General features: G+C 42.5%; 1 long non-coding RNA gene across 1 annotated transcript in view; it reads left to right on the top strand.

Moving 5' to 3' along the window:
- LOC102724945 (uncharacterized) overlaps positions 1–27,798 on the top strand; it is a 244,858-nt gene that overhangs the window by 69,920 nt on the left and 147,140 nt on the right. The window contains exons 3-4 of the long non-coding RNA XR_001750942.2: positions 6,665–6,780; positions 7,498–7,556. This is a non-coding gene — a long non-coding RNA (uncharacterized LOC102724945). The remainder of the gene's footprint in view (positions 1–6,664; positions 6,781–7,497; positions 7,557–27,798) is intronic.

Raw genomic sequence — 27,798 nt, 5'->3', positions numbered from 1 at the left:
AGACCTATCCTATCATCCAAATGCATCAGAATTTAATTTTCTTGCCTTTATAAAAAGTGTTTTCTGGGGGAAACTACATTTTTTTTTATAAAAAATTTGGATAATACAAAAATAAAATATAATGAAAACAAAAGTACACTCAGAACTCCACTGTTATATTTTACATGTATGTGTACATATTTTCTTTTTTGAAAATTGAGATTATATGATATCCTTCTTTTACATGACATAATTTTGTGAGCTCATGACACATGAAACTTTTGATACTTGGATTCTTAATAACTATTTACTTTGCACTTATTTGGGCTCACAACTGTGCATCAAAACCCCTTCCTGTCCTCCAGGAACTACCTTCTCCACTTTTAGTCTATGTAGGGAGGAGGAAGGGCAAGAAGCCAGGAATCAAGAAATCAAGAGAGCAACCCTGCGAACCATGACTTCAAAGTGATGATTCTTGTCCTACGTTAAAGATACCAAGGAGTCCAAAACACTTCTTTCTCTATTTTTTGAAGAGTATGAACATGTGACTTAGTTTTTGCATGGAACCATATCTAAAGCAACACAGTTCTGCAGAGTACAGCTAATTTTTTTTTAAAGAATTCATTATTTACAACAGTCTCTTCATTAAACAGGATCCAATTCCTAAGCCACATGGGCAGATCTCACTTGTCTCCTCTTTTCCGTCCTCCAGCCTCTGGAAGCCACAGTGAACCATCTAGGTCACTTATCAACCCACAGCTCCCTGCTTTCTTTTCCCTTCCCTCCTCTGTTATTTCTTTTATTGTTTGGGCCACTTCGCGTCTTTTCTAGAAAGTAAGAATACTTCCTCTTTAGGAGGGGTAGGAAGAGTTAAATTGTGGACATTTAGCATTCTCCTCAAATAGCAGGGGGAGAGAGATGCTGTGGACACTTACCCCATCATCTTTTATAGCCCTTTTCCGTGTCTTGCATCTCTGTTCCCCTGAAGTGACCGGCACTGGCACGACCACCTGGAAGGACCTGGGGGAAATTCTTCCTGAATAGAAGTGACCCTGAGAAACCAGGCAGCAAGGCTGATTCTGGGCCATGGCCCCAGGCTACGCATGGGCCAGCTTGGGCTGGGAGGACAACAGCAGCGGTTGTTCCTGAGTTGCCCTCCATGCCTTTTCACATCACCCCACCATCCACCCCAGGGGTAGCCTCCAAAAAGGGACTGAGATCACATTCCCCTGCCAAAGCACGGAAGCTCTGTCCTCTTGGGTAACAGGCCCCAGGACTGTGGACTGGCAGGAGATGGGTGTGGGATTAAGGAGAATGAGGTTGGTCTCTGAGTTTACATCCTAGATCTCTTTGCAGGGTTCTGCTTTCCTTGAGAGTTAGAAAAGAGCCAGAGCATATATGTGAGAAGCAAAATGGCTGGAAAGCTGTGGGCCTTGAGTATTTATTTATTCATCCCAGATTCTTTCAATATACATTCACAAGAGGGTGAGGGTGATACCTAGGTGTTCAGGCTCTAGAGTCGAGCAGACCTAAATTTGAAGCCTGTTTCCGCCACCGATGAACTAGGCAAGCAACTTTACCCCTTTAGACCCCAGCTTTTTTATGGGTAAACTTGGGCAACCTCCTCAGCAGATTATTATGAGGATTAAGAGAAAATTGAAAAGTGCATGTGGAGCATTAGTTCAGTGCCCGCTACATTGGTCTTGACGGGTGGCTGGTATTACTGTTCTTGAAAACGTCCTCCAAGAAGGCTGTGACGGAAACAAGGCTAAGTCAGATACAGATCCTGCCCAAGGTAGCTTATGATGGGCAATCCTAACACCAGAAATGATGGGAGCCAGGAGAGAAGATTAGGACGAAAGGGGCATGAAACAAACAGAATCAAAGGTTCAAAAAAGGATCGGCAGAAAGGATTGTTTAACATGGTGGGGCTGAAAGTGAAAGCTGAATTGAACAGAATATAACAGTGGGGTCTGACAGAGCCTGGGCATAGTGTCTAAAGGTGGGAAAGAGGAGCAACAGGATACATTAAAAGCACAGTAGGTGAGCAGACTCGTCACCGGGTTGACAAGAGTGAGAAGGTAAGCAAAGGAGAAAGCAGACTGGGATCGATAAATAAGCAACAAACGTAGTGATAAAGACGACCCTACCAGTCCAGACACTAAGAGGCAGCCTGTCACAGAGGCTGGAATTGGGCTTGCAGTTTAAGATCACAAAAAGAAAAATGTATGCAGATGTTTGCAGATTTTTCTGATGCTTTGATCGTTTTCCTATCACAACACTCAGAAATCCATCCTGGATTTATCCTCAGGAAAGACATCTGAGAGCCCCTCTCACGCCTTGTCACTGCCTTGGAAGATTTCATAGTCAAGTTCTCAGAGATGGGATAAGTGGTTAAGAGAGTGATCAGCACAAGTTGCTGAGTTCTGGAGACCCTGATTGGAGCAGATGCCGGCTGCGTGAACTATGTCTAGACATGGAAATTGTGCTCTTAATCTCTCAATCCTGCTTTCTCTACATTCTCTGACAACGCGCCTGTTTCTGTAAACATTCTCACCACGGGAGTGGAGCTGGAAACACATGTGCAATCAGCAGCCACAGCAGCTACAAAGGGGGTTATGAAATCCGCGCAAAAATAGCCTGCTTGCCCCATAGGCATGCAAAGCAGCCAACTAGCCAGGGAGAACGTGTCAGGCGGCAGATTTCGCTCAGTGTTTCAAGAGGCTTCCAGTGACCTGTCATACTTAGGGGCAAAGGAGCTTAGTGCTGGACAGAAACACCCGGAGGGGCTCTGGGCCTGCGGACAGAGCCTCCTGTGCAGCTGTGAGCGACAAGACCTCCTCCCAGGGAGGCAGTACAACTTCCAAGAGATGCCAGCCTCCTGTCCTACCTGCCCCGCAACTCCTCAGCCCTGGTTTAAACTTTTACTTGAGCCGGGCACGGTGGCTCATACCTGTAATCCCAGCACTTTGGGAGGCCAAGGCGGGAGGATCACTTGAGGCCAGGAGTTTGAGACTGGCCTGGGCAACATGCTGAGACCTCGTCTCTACCAAAAAATACAAAAATTAGCCAGGTATGGTGGCACAGGCCTGTAGTCCTAGCTGCTCAGGAGGCTGAGGCGGGAGGATTGCTTGAGCCCAGGAGTTCCAGACTGAACCCTGGATGACAGAGAGTGAGGCCTTGTTTCTGAAAAAACTTCTATTTGAGTTAAAACTTTGAGGTCACGTAATGTTACTGGAGGCAAGAATCTAAAAAGCCTGGCTCCTGCCCTTGGAACTTAATGCATCAGCTGGCTGGCCCTTTGCAGGGTTGGGATGGTGCATCTCTATAGAGTGAGGGAGTGGGAGGGAAAAGCACTTTGGCTGGGATGCTGGGCGCAGGGCTGGCAGATATGTGTTCACCATCTGCAAGGTGAAGGGGTGAGAAATGAGACTTGCTGTGAACAGGGGGGTGCACTGGGTGTCTTCTTTCACCTCCAGCTCCTCCTGCTGCATGACGTTTAGCCCAGTCACTTTGGGCCTCTTGCTTCAGCTTCACTACTGAGTGGGAAGGTGCTCTCTCCCCTGTATTTCACTCCTAAAGAAAGAGGAAAGGATCACCAGTCAGGTGACTGGCCATCACCTCGTCACGTGTCCTTGAAGTTGGAATCTCAGTCAACTCAGAGAAATGATTACATTACTGAGTGCCGTCGCAGAGGTCCTGGGGATATTTTTGTCAATAGAGCCCTTTGTGACTGAAGAGACAGGGTGGGTCATCTACATTCTGTTGGGGAAGACCATGGGGCTAGAAGTCAGCAGATCCAGGCTCTGAGCCAGCTCTGTCGGGTTACTTTCTGTGTTACTGAATGTCTCTGCTTTCCTCAGTTGAACAAAGCAAAGATCTGTAGCCCAAGAAAGGCCACTGGGCAATTGTAATGGCTAGGCTAGGGCAACAGAATGTGCTGAGGGCAGCGTGGAAATGGTGGCCAAGGCACTAAAGACCAGCTTTCTCTTTCATGGGAGCCTGAAATGAACCCTCTGCCACCTCCCTTCCCCACCCATAGATTCCTTTCCCATTTACAGGCAGCTAGGTTGGCCTTGGCCTGGACTGGGTTTCTGTTTTGTCAAACTAACAGGTTTCTGCTGGGAGGAGGGCACTGGCGGAAGTAGCATAACTTATCTTTGGTTTAGGGGTGGAACTTCGGTTGTTTCTCCAGGCACGTCATGTCTTGGCTTGGACCATCCCTTGCTAAAGCACTGTGCTTCACATCCTTTTACGGGAAGTACACGACCTTCCATCTCCCCGCAGGTGTGGGCTGGACCCACAGGACCCAGGCAAAGCCTTTTAGGTGGGTATCCTATTCAGAGGGCCAGCCAGGGACCCCATTGGCCTATTCCTCATAGTCCACACCTGTTTCCAAGGGGCCTCTTTGAACTCAATGACTTTCACTCTTTCTTTTGGAGTCATTTTAGGACAAAGGGAAATGAAATCCTGGTCCTTCAGTGACTTGAGCCATATCTTAAAATTGGGGTTGGGAGGGAACAGAATGGCTCCCCCAAGTCCTGCTCTGGGAGTCAGTTGTTGCCTAGGCTGGGACTCTGAGCTAGTACCCATCATACACAGCATTCCGATTTCTCCCTGTAGCATCCTGAATCTGTATATGCTTTGGGAGCCTGGGGTGGGGAGAGGCCAACCCCTGTCCCTCCATCACACTGTACTTCAGAGAAACCTGTGGAAGATAAAACTACCATTGTGGCTCCTTCCAAGGAGCTTTGGTAAAAAGGAAAGGTATCTGTTTCTGTAGGGATAACACTGAAGTGGAGTGTTGGAAACTCATGTTTCCAGAAAGCTTGAAGGTTTTGACCACCCCAGATGCTTTCTTCATGTTTCACACCAGGCAGCTTGGGCGTGGAGAGCTGCCTCCACCAACTTGGCTGAGAAGCCCTGGCAGCTGCTCAGGCTGAAAATAGTAGGTGCTTCGCATTTTCATCGCAGCCTGAGCAGGGCCTCACGTACACACACCTTGGCACGCAAATGTGGGCGCAGAGATTGTTCCAGGCATCGGGGCCGTGTTCACACATGGCTGTGAGGTGAAGCTGGAAATAGGCTCTGGTAGCCAAGGAAGCAAAGGAGCTGAGGGCCTCTACCATGTGGGGCTGCCATCTCCTTCCTGCAAGCAGCACGGAAAAGGACCTGCCTGAGCCTCAGTGGCCAAGTGTCTTCACCCCTGTAGCCCAGGACAGGCTTTAGAAAAAATGAAAAACAGGTTCATGATGGTTATTTTATGCAAAACCTTTGGAATTCTTCCTTTATCTCCAAATACAAATATTTAAAGTGTTTAAATCACTACAAGAAAATAAAAATCTAAAAGCAATCTGTTAAATAGACTGGGGATGTTGGTAGGGAAAGCAATAGGATCTCCTCTCTGCTCTTGGTGCTTGGGGCACCTCTCTCTTGCTTTTCTCTCACTTCTTGGCTGCCATTTCCCAGGGCCCTGTCCTGGGCTCATCCTGGCATTGATCAATGGCTCTGAAAACATAGGACAACGTAGCTTCAGATATTTAAAGCAGGTATAAGATGTGCCGGAGAGTATCTACAGCATCCATCTCTCTCTCTCTCTCTTTCTCTCTCTCTCTCTCTATCTCCATCCATCCATCTACCCATCCACCTCTTCCTCCCTGTATACTTTCCTTGAGAAAATAGACTCTATTAGAAAGTTGATTTCGTGCAATGCTCTAAGACAGTTATTTTTTATTTATTTTCATTTTCCCCATCATGTTCCTCAGCCAGGAGTTTCAGTGAGCTAGTCGAAAGTGCACCAGCCTTGATGAGAGATGGGCTTAGCTTTGAATCCAGGCATGCTATATGTAGCTGCAGAGTGTTGGATAATTCACCTAAATTCTCTGAACTTTGTAAACTGAGAGTAACTACTTTGCAAGCCTTCTGTGAGGTCCCAGGGGGACAGTGTGTACAAAGCACCAGGAACATATTAGCACCCAGTGAGAGGTGACTGCACCATTTCCTTCATGTTGTAGCATTTTTGAGACTCCTAGTGAAAAGAAAACATCACAGATGTACAGAGAAAGGACTGGCCCAGGCACAGCACACACCATCAGCTCATCATGCCCAACCAGTTTGACCTTGGGTCACTAGCAAAATGCCTCTGTAGAAGGGTGCATGTGGAATGGAGCTGGGCTACGGTGCCATTCACTTCTTATGCCTTTTTTTTTTTTTTTTTTTTTTTTTTTTTTTTTTTTTGGTGAGATGGAGTCTGGCTCTGTCACCCAGGCTGGAGTACAGTGGCGTGATCTTGGCTCACTGCAACCACCGCCTCCCGGGTTCAAATGATTCTCCTGCCTCAGCCTCCCAAGTAGTTGGAATTACAGGCACCCACCACCACGCCTGGCTAATTTTTGTATTTTTAGTAGAGATGGGGTTTCACCACGTTGGCCAGACTGGTCTTGAACTCCTGACCTTAGGTGATTCACCTGCCTGAGCCTCCCAAAGTGCTGGGATTATAGGCATGAGCCACCGCTCCCAGCCTCTTATGCCAATTTAAGTCTGCTTGCAAATAGAAGTGGGACTAAATATATAATACAAACTTAGCTAGAGTCCAAAATTGGAGTAGAAGTTGTTGAAACAGTTTCCTTCATGTAATTGTTATAAACAAAGTATAACAAAGCTATTCATTGCCCACTTTCTGCAGGGTGTATCAACCATTTTAAATCTGCCCTCAAAAGCACAGAACAAATCAGACAGCATTTTGCTCACAGAGGAGAGGGTGTATGAGAACCAAATTCCAGCTTCAGCACATGGCCTTGGGTAAGTCATTTGCTTTCTCTACACCTTAGCTTTCTCATCTGTAAAATAAGAATGGTGATATGATAGTAGTAATAATTCTACAGGCCACATGTGTCTCATACCATTATAATAACGATCAACCGAAGTCATGTATTTTAAAGCCTTCAGGAAACTGTGAGTGTAAGGCATGGTTATCTCACCTTGCAGGAAGGTCTTGAATCCATTCCAATAGCCTTTATTGGATGAGTGGTTTCTGGTGTTGATTTGTGTGCTTGAAAACATGTAGAAAAAGGCTGTGGGCAACATTTCTATCAGGGGTTGTGAGGTGATCGTAGGCAGGTTGCTTCTCAAGGGCAGATGATGTAAGGATGAGAGGGCCAACTATGATATCAGGGGATAGACTCAGGATTCCTCCAGGCCTCGATAACTTTAATCCTCTCTACCTTTGTCCTCCCTCCCCTCAATATGCGGCAGTCTCTGTCCCTTGCATGAACACAGGCTCCCTCCTCTTGGTTACTTTCCCCATTTATTAACTTCCTGATCTCTTGAACAAGGTGTCTGCAGCAGTCTGTGTTCACCAGATGTTCTATGTGGTGTATTGTTTGGGTGAGGCCGTGGAACTCATTCTAGCAGATGAACCATGAGCAGGGGTGATATGTGTGGCTTCCACACTGGGGCAATAAAGAACCAATGTCTTACTTCCCTTGTTCTTGCTTCCTCTGCCATGTGCCCCCAAAGGTACAGCTACAAGATGGAGGAAGCTATTTGACCTGCATCAGACTTTACGTGAACAAAAGGTAAGCCTTTATCATGTGAAACCACTGAGATTTGAGGATTTATTCTGGGATTGCCACATAGTTTGGCCTGTCCTGACAATAAGCGGGACATGCCTTGCTGCTTCACTCCCCCTCACCCCACCTGCTCCTCCAATTTGTGTAATCTTGTGTCTGCCCTCACTGCTTGGAGAAACGGCTACCCTCAAAATTTACCAGTGACCTCATCCTTATTTAGCTACAGACTGCTGAGTTGCCTCATTCACTTAAACTCTTCTTTCTCTCTTAATCTTTTACTTCATTATTTTAAGCTTAATAAAAAGTAATCCATTCTCACTTTAAGGAAATCTCCCCTTACCTTCCCAATTATTTATCTGCTTTTTGTTCTGTTTCCTTTTCTCTTACCTCAAAAGGCAGGTTTCCCCCCAAAGATCTGCCTCTGGCTCTCCTCTCTTCTCATCTCCCCACTCCCCCAGGTGCTTCCATATGCTCCTGTGTGCTCCAGCGGTTGGCTCGTTTGCACAAGGCGGCATTCCTCACTCTCAGCTCCAGCCTAACGTTTCCAGCCTCTCTAGATGTCTGCCTGGGTCTGCAGCCCACTTTTGGAGATGACTGTTCAGAACTAGACTTATCATCCTTTCTCCTTTTTTCCTTCTTCTTCCTACTGTGCTCCCTTTTACTTACTGTCCATGGCACTGTTATCAAATTTCACCCAGGCTTGACCCCTACATTTTCTTTTTGACTTGGTCTTTTCCATTCTACCACTCCCTTATCTAATCAGTTATTGAGTGCAGTGGATTCTTTCACCTGGTCCCTTCTCTGTATCTCCATTACTATTACACTACTTGTATGTATGTAATGGCATTGGGAGGAGACTAGAAAGACACATGCTGGACTGTTGACCATGGTTAGTTCTGGGGAAGAAAATCCATGGGAGTGGGTGGAGACGATGGGGGCCTTCATGCTTGAAAATGTGTTATTCTGTACTTTTAACATACTTTCTAGCAATAGATTCACATATTAACTGCATAATACAAAGGCAACTTTAAAAAATAAGAATGGGCTGCCTGTGATGTAGTGAAGACTTCGTAACTGGAAATCTTGGAACAAAAGTTAGATGACTTAGCATTAGGGATGTCACAGATGTTGTAGAGGGGATTCCCGTATCGAATGGTAAACTAGAAGTTATCTTCTGCATCAGTTAGGATTAGATTCAGTGGTGAGTGATGGAACTCCAAAATAACACAGGCTTAAACAACATGGAAGTTGTCTCTGAAGTAAGAGTCCAGAAGGTAATCAACCCAGGGTTTGTGAGAGCCCTCCACGATTCTCAGAGATTTCTTCCCTCTTGCCACTCCATTCCACTCATGTCATGGGTTCCACCTCATAGTTTAATCAACTTGCTAAAGCTTCAGCCATCGTGTTTGCATTCCATTTAGCATGACAGGCAAATTTGTACATGCCCTCTCCCTTTCAGGCCACTTTCTAGAAGTGGCTACTTCTACTTTTACTCCTTTGGCCAGAACCTAGTTACACAGAAACACCGAGCTTCTCAAGAGGCTGGGATATGCTTTAGTCTATGTGGCCATGTGCCCAGCTACAAACTGGCGATTCTATTACCAAGGAAATAGGGGAAAATGAATACTGGGGAGCAATTCATGTTCTCTGCCAATGTTTTAACCTTGTGATTTTAAAATTAATAATAGCTGCTACTTACCGAGCTACCCTATGGACTAAGCCCTGGGCTAAGTGCTTCATGTGTTATCTTGTTTAATGCTCACCTGTCTGTGAGTACTGACGGGTGCAGCCATATCCCAGGCCTGGCCGCAGCCACAGGGGAAGATGGGAAACTCAGTACAGATGGAGTATCCCTAACTCGAATATTCAAAATCCAAAATGCTCTAATGAGTGTTTCCTTTGAGCTTTATGTCAACACTCCAAAATTTTAGAATTTTTCAGCATTTTGAATTTTGAATTTTTAAATTAGGGGTAGTAAACTTGGTGCAAATATTCCAAAATTCCAAAAAGAAGTCCAAAATCTGAAACACTTCTGGTCCCAAGCATTTCAGATACACTACTCAACTCGTACCTAGTATATTTGTTCCCAGTGAGGAAAAGCTGTCCTCATTCCCACCAAAACTCCTAAGGTGGGAATTTTCCATACTTGGAAAGGGGTTTAAATGCTGGCATATGACCACCCCACCATTCAGTTTCTGTATTGCCCTCATTTTAGGTTTAAAAAACTTGAGAAATGGAATTTGAACTGGATTATTTTCAAAGGTTTTGAAATATTTGGTTCTCCTTCTATCCTTTTCTTGTTAGAAATTCCTTTGAAAGCAATAGCATACTAATCCCTGGCCTCCATAACAGGGTCACTTGGTAGGCATGATAATGCCTCCTCCCGACAAGGTTTCCATGTCCTAGTCCCTGGAACCTGGGAATATGTTACCGTATATGCTTAGCAAAAAGAACTTTGTAGATGTGTTTGAATTAAGCATCTTGAGATGGGAGAGAATCCTGGATTAGCTAGTTGGGCCCCATGGAATCACTGGGTCCTTACCAGGGAAAGAGGGAGGCAGGAAAGTGAGAGTCAGAGAGGGCAGCATGGTGACTGGAAGTGGAAGTTGGGGTGATGCCATTGCAGACTGGAATGAACCTGGGAATGTGGCAGCCTCTAGGGCTGGAAACAGCAAGGATTGGGGCTTCTCTCCTAGTGCCTCCAGGAGCAGTGTGGCCCTAGTGGTCCCTTCCTTTTAGCCCAGCGAAAGCCATTGTGGAGTTCTGACTTCCACAACTGTGAGATAATAAATTCATGTTGTTTTTAAGCCTTGAAGTTTCTAGTAAATTGTTACAGCAACAATAGGAAACTAACACAGGGCACAAGTTAAAATGCCTCCAAGGTCCAGAATGTACCATAAATGAGTAAAGTAAGCTATGGGTAAAAAACATTTTTAAAAACATACAATCCTTTTAGTCTCTTTCATTTGTGCATTTTTGACAGAGCCATGAGTCCAAAGTTTTGATGTTCCTCCTAACTTTGTAAGAAAAATGATAATAGCGGTAAATGGTGATGGACACATGACTTCAGTGGTAGGTAGAGAGAGGTGGGGACTAGGGGGAAGTGGAAAGTGAGTCAGCTGCTAAGGACGAGGAAGCTGCAGCCAATTGTTACCTTGTAGAATTTGGATTTGGTGTTTCCAGTGTTTCTAATTTAATTGTAGCACAGTATCTTTTGTTGTCTTGCAAATGAAGAGTTCAGACAAAATCTATCTAGCAGTCTTACAAGTGAAGAGTTCAAACAAAATATATCTTCAGGCAGTGGCTTGCTGTCCTTGGCTATAAAACAATATCATCTCCCACCTGTTCTTGTCACCACCTTAGGATGTTTTCCAATGGAGATTTTCTTTCTTTTCTTTTCCCTTCCCTTCTCTTTCCTTCTTCCTTTCCTTCCTCCTCTCCTTTCCTTTTTCTTTCCTTTCTCCCCTCCCCTCCTTCCCTCCCTCCCTCTCTCCCTTCCTTCCTTCCTTCTTTTTGTAATGTTTTGTGCATGGAGTAGCAGGCATTTTTCTCTTGCAGCCACCGTTGTTCCCCTCCCATCCAGACACACATGACTGCATCATGAGGCTGATTTCATTTTTATCAGCATTCTCTTTCTCTCTCTCTCTTTAAACCATTTTACAAAGCATAAGCAGAAAGACTTCAGAAAGTCAGATTTCAAAAGTGGTGCACTGCCTAAAAAGTTCTCTACACTTCTTATGCTCTTTCCTTGCTAGGACAATATTCAAAGAGCTCTATAAGCATTCAATGAGTCTGTGAACAAGTATTTATTGAGCATCTAGGAGGAATAGGGCTATACAGAATGCTATGAGGACTACAAAAGGTAGAAGACAGCAAATCCTTCTGAACATGCCACTCATATTGAAGGGACAGTGTGTCTTGGGGAGCAACTGCCTGACTTGATAACTTCTTGAGAAGTTGAATCATAACGCGAATCTCCTTGCCAGCAGGATATTTGCTCAGACAGATAAGCAAATCTGGTATTTACATCCCTTCTGCATCTTTCTTGTTTGTGTTTTCCCTGCTGTTTTACCAGCAGGACTAGTAAATGCTGTATTCAAGATAGGAGCCTGGAGTTAACTCTACTTGTGGCAAAATCACCACGTGTGCTTCAGCTGGCCATGGCACCAGATTGCTAATGAGCCCAATCTCCCTGTAGTTATGGTGAGTGACCAGGTGAACATGATGCTTTCTTTGTGCCTTGGGTCCTCAGTTGCTGGAACAGGGCTTCAAGCTGTTAAAACTGTGCTGAGAGAAACCTCACTGGACAGTGTCTGTATTTTGAGTTCCAATTTGTCTGCCCAGTTCCCATGGTGCCTGGATCCATGCAGATAGTGGACCTGAAGTTAATGTTAGATGAAAATGGTAACTATTATTATAGCTGAAATGTATTCAGTGCTTACTCTGTGTCAGATGCTATGCCGAGTTCTTTACATTGGTTGGCATTTTAGCCTCATAACAACTATTTACAATCATAATTGTTACTCTTATTTTACAAACAAGAAAAATGAGGCTTAACATCACACTTCTGCTTAGTCGCAGAGCCAAGATTTGAACCCAGGAATCCATTCACCGGTACATGCTACCTGGGTAAAAAATGTTTAATTAAAATCTATGGCATTAGATTTCAAAGAGTCCTAATGTGGTTTTGAAAATAGGTGTGCTTTAATTTGTTTATCAGTATGCTCCTGAAACTTGAATTGGAAAATGAATATGAATATCCTAAGGGCATGGGACATGTCTTTATAACATCTACAGTACTTAGCACTGTGCCTTACACATAGAGGACCTGAAATAAACGTTTGTTAAATGAATGGATGAAACAATTTGTAGAAGTTAATTTGAATTTTAAGTGTAGCCAGTAAGACCAGTGTTTGAGGGAACCTGCAGGTTTACTGAACAGAGTATCTCGGTTGATCCCATTTATTTAAAGTTACGTTTAAGTGGGCATTAATGCATAGAAAGATGACTGGAGGGGGATGTTTGAAAAGCAGACTTTTACTTTATTTTTTATACTTTTCTGTCTTGTTTTGAGTTATTAAAAATTGAGGACACATGTGTCTTAGTTTTGGTCCCACCTTAAGCAGAGCCTCATAGACAGGAACTTGGCGTGGTTGATTTGGGATGTGATACCAGGAAGAGAAGTGAGGAAGCAAAGAGATGGATGGAGACATCGAAAAGGGAAGTCAATGTCAGGGTGTATATAAGGCACTGGGAGTGGGTAAAGGGAGTTCCTTGCCATGGGGACTTGGCTAAAGGACAGGAGGCTGGAATACTAATCTACTGGGTCACAGCCTTCATTGGCGTGAACACCCTCAACTTTCCAGGCTCTGTTTTCAAAGGCCCAGTGGGCCCTTGCAGCATCAGAAAAGGCCTCACATCTGAGGGCAGAAAGAAACTTGGCTCACAGCTAAGGTGGGAGGGACATTGTGGTGCCAGGAGATCTGGGCTCCTGGAACTGCTCAACACAGTGGCTAAAAGCAGAGGTGAGTAAGAGATGTGAAATAGGAGGCATCTGCTATTGTATCATTTTTCAAACACCAGTGAAACAATAGTGAAAGAAACAACAGAAGTAATTTTTGTGAAAACAAAAAATTGTTTGACTTTGCAAATCTGGGCTTTCACAGATGAGGTTATTTTCAATGAGATACTCATGTGCACCATGTTGCAGGCCAGGTTCCCTCAGAAGCAGGATTCAAAGACCAAATATGTGCAGGAAGTATATTGGGGAGGGATCTATGCTTGTAAAGGAAGCAGGATTGGGCATGGAGAGAAGCCTTGCTGTGATGCAGCTACAAGACTTCAGCTGGCTCCAGAGGGAGCTCTGAAGCTGGGAAGGCCCTGCAGAATCATACTGAGTTAGGGCAAGGGGGCTGGCCTTTAGACAGGAGCACCCTCTAGTCATTGCGTGCCAGATGCCCCAGGAAGGGGACCCACCCTAGAGTGAAGCAGCTAGATGCAATTTCAGGAGAGGGCTTAGAGCTGAGGCCTGCCGGTTGGGGTAACAGGAATCTGGGCAGTGCAGCATAGTATCTACTGTGTGTGACTTTTAGCAAACTCACATTTGAACCTCAAGACCAATAAATAACATTGAAAAATTCAAAGCCAAGATAAAAAGCAAAACTTAATTCATCAAGTCTCCTTCCTTACTGCGGCAGGCCAAATCGGAAAGACACAAGGAATAGGACAAGGTTATTTTTTCACTTGTCAAATGAAGACTTTGGTCTACATCAGGAATTACAAACTGGTGGTCCACAGGACAAATCTGTCTGAAAAGTCTGTTTTACTTGCATCAATAGTTTTTCAAATCTGATTTCTGTTTTCTCTTAAAAATTTGGAATTCCTAGCATGTTGGGCCCACATTATTTCATTGTAAGTGACTGCCAGAGTGGAGTAGCAGGTGCCCTCTTTGTTGGGGCATATCCTTTCCCTTTACCCCCCTTCCCTTCAGCCTGCTTCAGTCATTTTTGTTACTGGCTGAGACCTGTCACCATTTGAGTTTGTGAACTCTGATCTACGTATGAAGTTCTACTGGCTCCGAGGAGCTGTGATTCTGTGTAGATAGTCTTGCATACTGCTAAAATAGGTTTTTTACTTTCCAGTGGCACAATGACAGCTAGAAACCGTTGGCTTTGTAGTCAAAGATACATCTCTTCCTGGAGTTCTCTTTGGGCAAGTCAGACCTTTTTTTTTTTTTTTTTTTTTTTTGTAGTCTAGTTTTGCGGCTTCACAAATGAGGATCTCAATGACCTTGATCTGGATCATGAGCATGAATGAAAATGCTTTTGGTGGTCATGGTAGGGGCTGTGTGGGATTTTTTAGCTTCTAGAATGTTATTTAAGACTCAGTGATTCCCATACCGAGCTGAATCTCAGAATTACCTGGGCCAGTATAGAAATAAAATTTTCAGATTCTTCTAGGCCTCTCTGATTCACTAGATCTGGGTCTTGTAGGTGGAACCTAAGAATCTTGTTTTTAATCAGTTTCTCAAGCAACCTCTGTATGCAACCAGACTCAGGAGCCATACTGGCTTCTTCTAGTTGCTCCTGGTATTCAGTGCTTGGTTCATGTGCTATAAGCTTCTAAACTCATGATGTGAAGGGGTCCTTTCTTATCTTTTTATTCATCCCTATTGTTTTGTGCTGATACCTAGCACAGTGCTCTAGAAATCCTGCTCACTTAATGAATGTTCAGTGAATGAATACTTGAAGGAGTGAATACACATTTCCAAATGCCTTTCTTCTTTAGGACGTGAAGAGAACAAACTTCCAAAATAATATGTTGAAAATCACTGGATTTAGAGAAATTGATTTATAGATATGGTGTCAAATAAGGCAGAGACAGGAAGAGTCCTAACTTCATCTTAGGAGGTTTTTGCCTTGGGGATGTTAAGAAATAAATGACTCCTTTTAAAGATAACTTATGCTTTTCATTAAAAGATAGATGATTTACCCCCCCCCCATGCAGTGTATGTGAGTTATTTGTACAATATTTCAAAAATAGCAAACTGACTCAATAGAAAAGAAAACTTTCTAAATTATGCCAAAATTTTGCCTTGAAATATAAACCTTGAAAGAATAAGATCAGGAGCTTCTTTTCATACTAGGAGATGGATGCCATGATAGAAATTTAATTTATTGTGTTATGGTTTATTTATCATGGGCTTGCTTCCAAAGAGTGCAAAAAGCATGTGTCTGCAGAGCACCAAGGGGAGGCATGGCCAGCCCATGGTTAACTTGGATTGTAAATGGGAACAATCCAGAAAATGTTGGCTCAAAAAAAATCTTGGCCCTTGTCTGGCTATTTACCTAGCCAGACAAGCGCCAAGATTTTTCTTTCTTAGAAGCCCTTGGCCGTAACCTCTAGCTTCTGGGGTTGAGGCTTCAGAAAGGCTTCATGTGGGTGAGATGGAGAATCTTTTTTTTTTTGAGATGGAGTCTCACTCTGTCATCCAGGCTGGAGTGCAGTGGTGCGATCTCAGCTCACTGCAACCTCCGCCTCCTGGGTTCAAGCAATTCTCCTGCCTCAGGCTCCTGAGTAGCTGGGACTACGGGTGCGTGCCACCACACCTGGCTAATTTTTATATTATTAATAGAGACAGGGTTTCACCATGTTGGTCAGGCTGGTCTCGAACTCCTGATATCGGGATTTGCCTGTCTTAGCCTCCCAAAGTGCTGGGATTACAGGTGTGAGCCACCATGCCTGGCTGAGATGGAGAGTCTGATTGTCTTGAGTGTGATTGGCTGTGGTTTACCAGGTCTGAACCAGCAGCCTTGGACAAGTGTGACACTCTGGCTAGAATGCACCAATTTTTCCCAAGTGCTCAGGAGTCTGTTAGTGAAGTTTGTGAGTTTATTTTTTGATACCTATGATGATTTCTGTCTTGAACTCAATTAGAATAAGTTTATGAAATCTGTGTTTTGCATCACTGGCACCTGCCCTTTGTTTTCATTTTCTTCTTAAACAATAGGATTATAATGCAATAAACTACTCAAATTAATGTTGTACAGACAAAGATGGTAATGGTGCTGAAAGTAAACCATTGATGGGTTGCTGTAGCACTATGTAGTATTTTGAAATGTTTACTGTCAGTTGAAAGCCCAAAGGTATAAAAAAGTGAGGGAGAATGTCAATGTTTAAAAATACGTATTGCACAGAAGATACATTTACTGAAGTTAAGCTGGACTGTGGACTAATTGGGTTATAAATATCAGCATCAGCCCCACTGTTGTCTGTGAAGTTTGGAATTATGGCTCCTCATCGTAGGGCTACTCGTTTTGTGCCCTGATTTCTGTTAATAGCTGTTATGACTGTTACTGCTACTTCTACCATTACTATTATCACTGTCCTTCTTGTTGGTATTGGCTAGTCCAGCCCAGCAGAAGTCTTTGAGGATCTGGGACCTTGAGAAAGCCTGAGATTTGCTGTGGTCATAGTCCCCAGAACTATGACTAGATTTGGACAAAGTCATGAGAGATTCTATCAGATGTTAATTTAATATTTGTGCAGTTTGTGCCCCTACCCAATAAGGATATTCAAATAAACTGATTCCATCTAGTTCAAAGGTTTCTAGAAATAGAGAAGTTTTTAAAAAATCTTAAGGACCAAAGAAAAGCATGAGTGGGTAGGATAATACCAGAGTAGTGGTTACAGACTTTGAGAAATGGAGGGATGCTTTGCTTTAATCTTAGACTTTCAGTGGTGAGACCTCTCCATTTTGAGAACAGTGATTTGATAACAGTTAATAGAGTTCAGGGTATCCCATTAAAGTTGTGGGCAAGAATGCAGTTGGTGTCCTGGCCAGGTTGCTCTCCGGTCATTAAGAAACTTTACTTTGCTGAGGAGATGTCTCCAAAATTCTTAGAGAAGAGAACCCAAAATAGTTTTGTGTGACAAATAGTTTGTGTGATTTCTTTAGTGGGTAACCTTCTTTTTAACATTGAAAAGATTCAGAATTAATTATAGAGTTATTTAAGAAAACTTATGTTTTCAAACTTATGTTAATAAAATATTTTGGCTGTAAAGAATCAAGGACAACAGATCCAATGCAGTCCCTATCAAAATATCAATGACATTCTTCACAGAAATAGAAAACAAAATCTAAAATTTTTATGAAACCACAGAAGACCCAGAATAGCCAAAGCTATCCTGAGCAAAAAGAACAAAACTGGAGGAATCCTGTTATCTGACTTCAAATTATACTACAGAGCTATAGTAACCAAAACAGTGTGGTACTGTCATAAAAACAGACACATAAACCATTGGAACTGAATAGAGAACCCAGAAATAAATCCATATATCTACACTGAACTCATTTTTGACAAACATGCCAAGAACATACATTGGGGAAAGGACAGTCTCTTCCATCAACGGTGCTGGGAAAACTGGATATCCATATGCAGAAGAATGCAGCTAGACTTCTATATCTGTCATATACAGAAATCAAATCAAAATGAACTGAAGACTTAAATCTAAGGCACCAAACTATGAATCATTGGGGAAACATTGGGGAAACACTGCAGGACACTGGACTAGGCAAAGATTTATTGAATAATACCCCATAAGCACAGGCAACCAAGCAAAACTGGAAAAATGGGATTGCAAGTTAAAAAGCTTCCACACAGCAAAGGAAACAATCAACAAAGTGAAGAGACAACCCACATAATGGGGAAACATATTTGCAAACTTTTTATCAGACAAGGGATTAATCATCATAATATGTAAGGAGCTCAAACAACTCAACAGAAAAAAAATCTAATCTGACTAAAAAGTGGGCAAATGATCTGAATAGACATTTCCCAAAAGACATACAAATGGCCAACTGGTACGTGAAAAGGTGCTCAACATCACTGATCATCAGATAAATACAAATCAAAACTACAATGAGATATCATCTCACCCCAGTTATGACTTTCATCCAAAGGATGGGCAATAACAAATGCTGGCAAGGATGTGGAGAAAAGGGAACCTTCATATAATCTTGGTGGGAATGTAAATTAGTACAACCACCATGCAAAACAGTTTAGAGGTTCCCCAAAATCTGAAAATAGAACAATCATATAATCCGGCAGTCCTACTGCTAGGTATATACCCAAAAGAAAGGAAATCAGTATATTGAAAAAATGTCTGTACTTTCATATTTATTGCAATACTATTCACAATGGCCAAGATTTGGAAACATCCTAAGTGTCCATCGACAGAAGAATGGATAAAGTAAAGGTGGTACACATATATAATGGAGTACTATTCAGCCATAAAAAGGAATGAGATCTTGTCATTTGCAACAACATGGATAGAACTGGAGGTCATTATGTTAGGTGAAATAACCCAGGCACGGCAATACAAACTTTGCATGTTCTCATTTATTTGTGGGATCAAAATTAAAACGATTGAACTCATCGAGATGGTAGAATGATGGTTACTGGAGGCTGGGATGAGGTAGGGAGAGTGGGACTGGTTAATGGGTATAAAAGTATGGTTAGATAGAATTAAGATCTAGTATTTGACAGCACAATGGGGTAAATATAGTCAACACTTTATTGTACATTTAAAAATAACTAAGAGTACAAATGGATCATAACACAAAGAAAGGATAAATGCTTGAGGTGATGGATACCATATTTATCCTAGTGTGATGATTATGCATTGTATGCCTGTATCAAAATATTTATGTACCCCATAAATATATACACTTACTATGTACCTGCAAAAAAATTTCTAAACAAAGAATCAAGGATATATTTTAAGCATTAGCAAAATGATCAAAGAGTAATTTTCAGCCTGAAAGTGGCAGGACAGGAAATCTGACACAATGATGCTCAGGGTTTTCGGCTCCACCAGGTGCTTATATCTTTGCCACCACTGTCTTGGTTATCACTGAGAGATACTTATTAAGGACTTATTTGTGTATAACAAAAATAAATAAGAAACTAATTAGCTCTGATCTCTTTCCTCTAAATCTAACAGTTCATTTAGTTGATGAAAATTTTATAGGCAGAATGACATAATTTATGCTATATGTAGTTATAGTATATACACTAGTCATAGTTATACAATTTAAGTTAACTATGCAAGTAACATTGCAGAGAAGCCAGGTAGAGATATGCTAGGGCACACACTGAAAGACACCCTGATTGATCTTTATCCAGGTGAGACATTCTCTGACCATTGAATTCAGCCTAGAATTCACAGCATCCTCTCTACAAATTAACAAATTATATTAACACATACTAGTGATGTTTTGACATGTGTCAAATAGAAGACTGCCAAAAAAATTCCGAAAAGTAAAATATGGGATGAAATAATCTATTTGGCTTCAGGGGATATTCATAAGACTCTAGCCTCTTCAATTTGTATCCTAGAAAGTTGCTGAATGGGACAAAACTGAGATGTGATAACAAAATGAGTTAAGACACTTTTCAGTGAGTTCTTTGGATATTTCATAATTCAAAGCAAGAGCTATCAATCTTTTCATTTTAGTTTTTGAAAGACTAAATTTTGTACATATGTTAGACAATGATAAGACACTAATCAAGCTGACTGTTCATCTTTCATTTAGTTAGTCAACCACTAACTAAATGTTATTGGACATAAAAATGTGCTAAGCAGCTTGGGAGATAAGAAAAGGAAGATGAGGTCTTATGCTGGAACATAAGTAAATGGAGCTATCTCTGGGCTTTTGTGACAGATGTTGGCCCATCTTGGGGTCCATGGTTGTAAATTACCTGGGAGTGAGAAGGACCCTTTCTTCCATCTCTGCCAGGACTTATCTTGTGCTCTGTAGAATGCCACCTTCCCCAGGGGAGCCAAGCTATTCATTCTTTCTTCATTGAGGTGGCGGCAGATTTGTTTGTCCCCGTTTTGCTGATAGCAAAAGTGGAGCTAAGTATATTAAAAAGGTCACTTCACAAAAATGTATCTGATTGTATAATCTTAAGATTTCATGGCAAGTAACAGAAGGAAAAGAGTTATAAATGATGAGTCCAAGATTTGCTAGACTTTAGGTTCACTACTGTTCTGAGCTGTGCTTCCTGGAAGAATGAGCATATGTGGAGTGACGTCTCTGTGCAGTTAGGAAAAAGAGAAATGTTAGAAAAATCGGTGCATTCACACCCCTCTCCTGCAACCAGAGAGTCCCCAGACCTTCAGTGAGTTTTAAAGTTATGTACTTACTATCTGGAAAGCCACAGTAAAAGAAAAAGAAATCCCCTCGGACAGTAGACATATTTGGTAGGATTCTTGAGAGGGATGTGGTAATTTCATAATGGAGGAAACAAACATAAATATTTAAGGAATGATAAGCTCCCTGACGTGGTATGCGATTGCCTGCAGGCATTTCTAGTCAGAGAAGCCATCTGCATCTCTCTCGCAGTATGTCTGCCAATTTATGTCTGTGTGATTAAGATCTTTATTGAAAAATTGTGCAATATCAGGATCAATAGCCAGGCATTTGGAACAGTAGCATACACTCGGAAACCCCTCCTGTGGGATGGATGTGCACTGGAAAAGAACACACTTCCTTCTGCCAGTTAGGTTTTTAGGTTCATGGCCTGAGAAAACAATGAAATCAGTCAGGTATTTAGCAAGGAGGAGCATGATACAATAAAATGTCTCATAATGAATTCAACTCAATTCACTTGGAAAGCAAAGGGTAGGGGCCAAGAGAAAGAATGATTGCATAGTTCAGACCACTCCAAGAAATAATAAATGGGCTTATTTACTGTGTCTCAGAACAGCTACCTAGAATGTTTCATTCCAACTGTCCATAACTAAGGTATTAAAAAATAATTGAGAGCAGGATCTGGATGAAAAAGGAAAAAAAAAACCCCTACATTTATTTACATTATTTTTTCAGGGCATATTTTTGGCTCTTTACTTCTTATTTTTGGCTTATCTTGTTCTCTGAGAAATGTATGCAGATCTCCACCTGGAAGAGAGGGTGTGGGGAAACATGGAAAATGCTTGCTTTTATTCCTCTACACCTGAAGTTGCACTGCCCCTAAGACACATAGGATGGAAGAAAAACCCCTTAAACAGGACTTGTAGTCTAGACACTGCCCCACCGCCCTCTTCCACCCCTACTCAATCACTTCCCACCACCCACTTGCTCTGGCAGCTGATGTAGGTCCTGATATGTTGCTACGGCCTGACATATATAGTAGTGTCCTTTCCATACAGTGGCTACAAAAGAAGTGGGGTAATGTTTGAAGGGCCACCAGGGAAAGCCAAACTTTCTATGAGAGGTCTGTGCAGGAGCCCTAATTGTTGCTTCTCTGGTGTTTCCAGTTTATCAGTGCAGCACAAAGGAAGCTTTATTTGCATTCAGGGAGTCTCAAGGTATTTTTGCTTCTAGGTGTTCTGTTAGTATAGGCTTCCAGGCCGTAGGCTCAATATCACCATGTAGCACTGTGAATAGAAATCTAAAGACTTGCCTGGAAGCACAGATGGTCATATACCAACTGTCTATTCACAGTGCTAAGTGGTTAACTTGAGAAACAGGGGAGGTGCTATGAGGAGGATCAGCAAGGGTGTCAGCAGCATAGGCCGGGCTGATGCAGTCTCTTTAGCCCAGAAGACTCAGCGGAGGTTGCTAGGCTGCCTTTTCCTTCACAGAAGGCAATATGAAGACTAGAGGTGGGCTAGAGAACTGCAAACAATATTCAGGGAATTGTCATACAGAAAAATTGGCCAACTTTCCTACTACTCTGCTTAGGGAATCAGCACATCGGGTGTTGATACAGCTGATTTATTCTCTGTCAGCCCATCTCCATCCCAAGAAGTACTGTTTGGGGGTTAATGAAACTGGGCTAAACCTATGTAATAGGTCTCAGGCAGATAGTTTTGTCCCCATGATCTGCTTGAGCCAATTTGTACCTATTCAGGAGAGCCAGTTTTGTGCACTGATATCATGTTGGTAGGTTGAAACTGGCCATGGAGGGAGTATTTATATGATGGAAATTGTCAAAGTCTACAAATCAGAGCCGGTTGTTAAACATTTACCAGCACACTGCTGCCTTGAGGCTTTCTCTTTCGGATAGTTTGGACAGAGAAATTCACTTTCCCCTGGGCAGACCTGCCTTGTGCCTCACAATTCTAGCTACTCACCTCTACCTCTAATGCTGCTCCTGGTCTGCTTGCCTCTGATTGAAGTTCTCTGTCCCCTCTAGATTCCTCCAGTGCTATCTCTCTTTTTTAAAAAATTTCCATTTTTATTTTAGATTCAGGGGATACATGTGCAGGTGTGTTATAAGAGTATATCGTGTGGTGCTGAGGTTTGGGCTTCTATGGATCCTGTCACCCGGATAGTGAACATAGTACCTGACAGAAAGTTTTCCAGCCCTTGCCCCCCTCCTTTCCTCCCTCCCTCCTTTTTTCTTAAGCACTTTCTATCTGCAATACTCTTTGGACATTCATGCTTCATCATATAGGCTTGTGTTACTGTTACTGTTTTGCTGTAATCCCTGTTTATATGTTCCTGTACCTTCAACTAGAACATGAGGATGGAGAGAGTGGGTACTGTTTGGGGAATCAGCCATGGTGGTAACAATGTATGTATGGTAACAGGTGTGTTAGTCTGTTTTCACACTGGTGATAAAGACATACCTGAGACTGGGGAAATTATAAAGAAAAGGGGGTTTAATGGACTCACAGTTCCATATGGCTGGGGAAGCCTCACAATCACAGCAGAAGGCGAAAGGCACGTCTTACATGGCAGCAGGTAAGAGAGAGAATGAGAGCCAAGTGAAAGCGGGAGCCCTTTATAAAACCATCAGATTTCATGAGACTTAATCACTATGAGAACAGTATGGGGGAAGCTGCCCCATGATTCAGTTATTTCCCACTGGGTCCCTCCCACAACACATGGGAATTATGAAAGCCACACCTTAAGATGAGATTTGAGTGGGGACACAGTCAAACCATATCAACAGGGGTGGTTCAACACGGGGAGTAGGCAGACAGGAAACTGACTTGAAAGGCATATTGAAATATTTGAAGTCTGGGGCAGCACCCATTAAGTACAAATGACACGATGGAGAGGCTTTGTGGGTCTCATTGGAAGATATTCAAATATTTTCTTAATGTGCAATCCTTGTCAGGCCTGATTTGTGGTTTTTTAAAATCATCACAGTTGGTTTTCAATCAAAGCCACTCAAGAATTAGCCTTGCCTACAGATAGGAGAAGAGATTGTGCGAGGAGTAAATTGGAGCAAGAAACTATCACTATCCACATTCTGCACAACCCAGGAGATCTTTCAGGAGAGTTCTGGAAGAGAAAGGAGGAGGGGGGTATTAGCTAACAGTGTCTGCTGTTTACCGCCATGTGTCTGTTAGCAGGAAGTTTTCCTTAGCTTCTTACACATGATTCTCTTCTCTCCCTTTCTCCTACAAGCATTTGGGGGTTTTATTCCCTGGTGCCCATAGAGTGCCAGCAGGGTCTAACTCTGCTTATTCTGTTTCCAGAACCCATGGTCTTCTATCCCAAGAGGCCCTTCCACTGAAGATTCTAGATAAAGGTGACCTATCTGAGAAGATCCTTCATCCTAACTTTGAACAACTTCAAAGTTTGCCCTGGGGTCTTGAGTCTGTGATGGAGGAGGTCTGGGTGACTATGGGATGAGGAACCTCCCTTCTCAGTTACACTGAGAGACGGTGTCAGAGTCAGGCTTTTCTGGGGGCATATGAGACTTTGGGGAGGCAGGTTGTCTTGATGACTGTATCTGTGTGGGTTGAGAGTAGGTATGGAAAAGACGGCAGAGAGGAGGATGGTACAGGATCTGTAGGCCCGTCTTTACCCTGGGGTTGCTGGTCTGTGCTCACCATGAGGCCTCGTGCTCACCAAGAGTCTGCCACTTTTCCTCTGCTTCCCAGTCATCCTCGCTGGTTTCACCAAAGACCCACTAATTCCACTAATACGTGGAAGACTCTCAAAGATAAGAAGATGAGTGAGTGAATATAAATAATAAAAAGGTGAGGGCAAAGGAGCAGGTTTATCTTAAACACATTTTTTTTTCCCTGGAGGTGCCTTCTTTTCTACCTAGAGCATATGTTAGTGTCCTACACATGGGATATTGGGGAGTTCATCTTTGGAAAAGACTTTTGAGTTCTGGGGAGCAAGGATGTCTTGAAAATAGGCTTCAGTGGTTATACATCTGTAAATGTCTAGAACTTCTTTGTATGTTTTTCCTTTGATGTTAACAAACTCCTTTGTGGTTCTACACCTCCATACCTGTTTCATCTGCCTGGTCTGCCCATCCCACCACTGCACCTGAGAAAGTCGGCATCTGTTAAGACTTCCATGAAATGCCCCCATCTCATCAGTGTCAGCCACTTCATAGTTAAACTTCAGTTTCCCCATCAGGAAAACAGAGACAATGGTACCTCCTTCATAGGGTTGTTGTGAGGGTCAAACCCCTGTTAAGACATGTAGAACTTCTAGCAGATCTGCATCATATGCGGTATTCAACCAAGGTTCTCCCTCCTTCCCTCTCTTCTGCTAGCCTTCTTCTGGGCTCCCATAGCTCTTTGTTCATAGCTCTCAAGTTTGCCAAACTACCACTTTCGGTTTCCATGTGTGTTTCTCCAGCTGTACCATCAACTCCTGAGGATAGAGGTTCTTTCTTTCTTTCTTTTTTTCTTCTTCTTTTTTGAGATGAAGTCTTGCTCCGTTGCCCAGGCTGGCGTGCAGTGGCGTGATCTCGGCTCACTGCAACCTCCATCTCCCAGGTTCAAGCGATTCTCTTGCCTCAGCCTCCTGAGTAGCTGGCACTACAGGCACCTGCCACCACGCCTGGCTAATTTTTGTATTTTTAGTAGAGACGGGGTTTCACCATATTGGCCAGGCTGGTCTCGAACTCCTGATCCACCCACCTCAGCCTCCCAATGTGCTGGGATTACAGGCGTGAGCCACCATGCCCGGCCTAGAGCTTCTTTCTTAATCATCTTTATAGCCTTAGAACCTAACACAAGTCCAGGTACATAGATAATCTGTAAATGTCTGCCAATTGAGTAAATAAAGGAAGGAATGTGTGAATAAAGAAACGCAGTCTGGTTCAGTGGAGGGGGATTAGTTGCCCAGGAGGCTAACCTAAATTAAGAATATAGTGCCAGTTAACTTAGGTTTTTTACAGATAACTCATGTCACTGGCAAAATGTCAGTAGATGTTTTCATTTGGTAACTTTAATATTTATCATATAGAATTTGAACATTTGATAGAAAATAAAGATTTGTGGCTGGGTGTGGTAGCTCATGCTTATAATTCCAGCACTTTGGGAGGCCAAAAAGAGCAGATTGCTTGAGCTCAGGAGTTCAAGACCAGCCTGGGCAACATGGCAAGACCTCCTCTCTACAACAGATACAAAAAGTAGCAGGGTGTAGTGGCGAGCCCCTGTAATCCCAGCTACTCAGGAGGCTGAGGTGGGCGGATTGCTTGAACCCAGGAGGTGGAATTTGCAGTGAGCTGAGATCGTGCCAATGCACTCCAGCCTGGGGGACAGATTGAGACCCTATCTCAAAACAAACAAACAAACAAACAACAACAACAACAAAACACAAAACAACAACAACAAATTGTTATTTCTAACCACCTTCTGCCTTCAAAGAAGAATGAATTCTTCTTATTAGAAGTTTTATGAAGCACAAAAAGAACCTTTTAAAAAATACTTCTTAGATGCCCAGAATTGGGTTAACTATACTCTCTGATTTATCACTGGCTCAAATATGGCCCTCTTTTATTTGATGTATTATTACATAATCAATACCTCGGAACCCTCTCACAACCCAAAGATGAGAACACTGACAATAATAATTTGACCTGTGTGTTCTTCTCCCATTCTTTACTGCTGTCTCCTTCACATTCTGCAACCATTAACCTGAAGTTTGTCTTTATTATTCCTTTCCTGTGTAAAAGGTTTATCACTGCTCTCTATATATGCCTTCATAAAGCTCAGTTTTTGTAGTGTTTGTTCTTTATTCATAGAGTATTATGCTGTATATGGTCTTCCAAGACTTACTTTTGCCTTTCAGCATCATATCACCTCTGATTCATCCACATTGTTGCCTTTGACTGAAGTCATTCATTTTCACTATTGTATAATTCTCTGCAGAGTGAATGCACCATAATTTATCCTGTCGATGGGCCTTTGGTTTGTGTCCAGTTTTATGCTTTTATGAGAAGTATTGCTATGAGCATTCTGAAACACGTTAGCTAATGTATAGGTGCCGAATCAAAACCTTCATCTTCAGTAATAGGACTTCACAAATAATTAAAGAAAATAAATATTCATCAGTAGTTGATGGAAAACATTCAAATGGGTAGTAACTACAGCAGTGGGGCGGACAGTGGGTGGGAAGTGAAAAGAAAGAGGAGAGAGAGAAACATAGAGACAGGAAATGTTTGGTAGCTGCAAGGCCAAGAAGAGCCATTTGATAGGAGAGACAAATCTAGGAGGTATTTTTCAAGTAAAATACTGTCTGTTGTTCAATATAAATACCTTTCTATATCACCATTTCAAATGTGTCAGTAAATTACATTGCTCACTTACACAAGTGGAGTTTTGCTTTGAAAATACTTACAGGATGAGAGGATAGCTGACATGTGAGTTATAAACAAATACGTAATTCATCTTTTATACTATAAAATCAGCTTTTCTCACCCCTGCTAAACAAATGTTGAACAAATACTAAAAGAATATTGGTGTAAGAGATTCTAAACTATTAGCCTATTCAAGGTAACCACACGTTTTGACCTGACCTTCTGAATGAATGAGTGAAGATGCCTTGGAATGAACATGACTTGGTTCAGCTATTCCAGCACCAAACCCAGAGGGGGAAAATCTCTAGTCTTTGGAACAAGGAGGTAAAATGTGGGTGTGTAATAGACCCACATGCCAAAAATTTGCTCCTTTCTTAAACTTTGGTAACGCTGCTTAATTTTTATGTAGTTTAGTCTTTTACATCTACTAGGGCTGCTATCACCTATATAAGTGCCATGAAATTAAGATTTGGAGCAGCCTACTTCTCCACCAACACAGATTCTCTACTTGAGAATTTTCCCTCCTGTCTTTAGGCAAAAGCAAATGCTTATATCAAGGCTGGTGGCTCTTTATTCAGGCATTTGGATCCTTAAACACCGTAAACTAAAGCATGCCCTGAAGCATAGGGTATGATAAACACAAGTGTTTTTGCTATCAGGACGTGCAATCCTGTTCCTACATGCTCCACGTAATTGGACAGCAAACAGTGCTCCTTTTCTTCCTTATGATCCCCTGTATTGCTGTGGAAATTGGAGTAAAATGTGATAATTGGAATGATCGTGCACTTAACATTCCTGAGCTCAGCAATGATAAGAAAAGGGTAGCAGTCTCTTTGTGATTTTTATGAACAGGAGTAAAACCTGGGATGTGTAGTGGCCAGTTTTAGTAGTTGGTACCAGGTGCTATACGGTTAATTTTTTGAAAAGACACATTTACCAGTGAACTTCTATACTGACAAATTTCAAATAACTGTTTCATCTGCCTTTGTTGAAAAAGGGGCTTGTCAGTGCTCTTAGGGACTCCATCATGTGTGGTGTTCTAAGTGGGCAATGCACTACTTAGAAGAGTCTACAAGGCAAAGACACTGGCTGTTGAGTTTTTTGGCTGCCTCCCCCTGCCCTAGCCCTAAAGATCGAATCCAGGACCACCTGTCTAATTTGTGGGGCTCACTGCAAAA

Source organism: Homo sapiens, chromosome 14, assembly GCF_000001405.40.
Source record: "Homo sapiens chromosome 14, GRCh38.p14 Primary Assembly".
Lineage (NCBI taxonomy): Eukaryota > Metazoa > Chordata > Mammalia > Primates > Hominidae > Homo > Homo sapiens.
The sequence above is the reverse complement of the archived record's forward strand: the minus strand, read 5'-3'. Positions and strand labels throughout refer to the sequence as shown.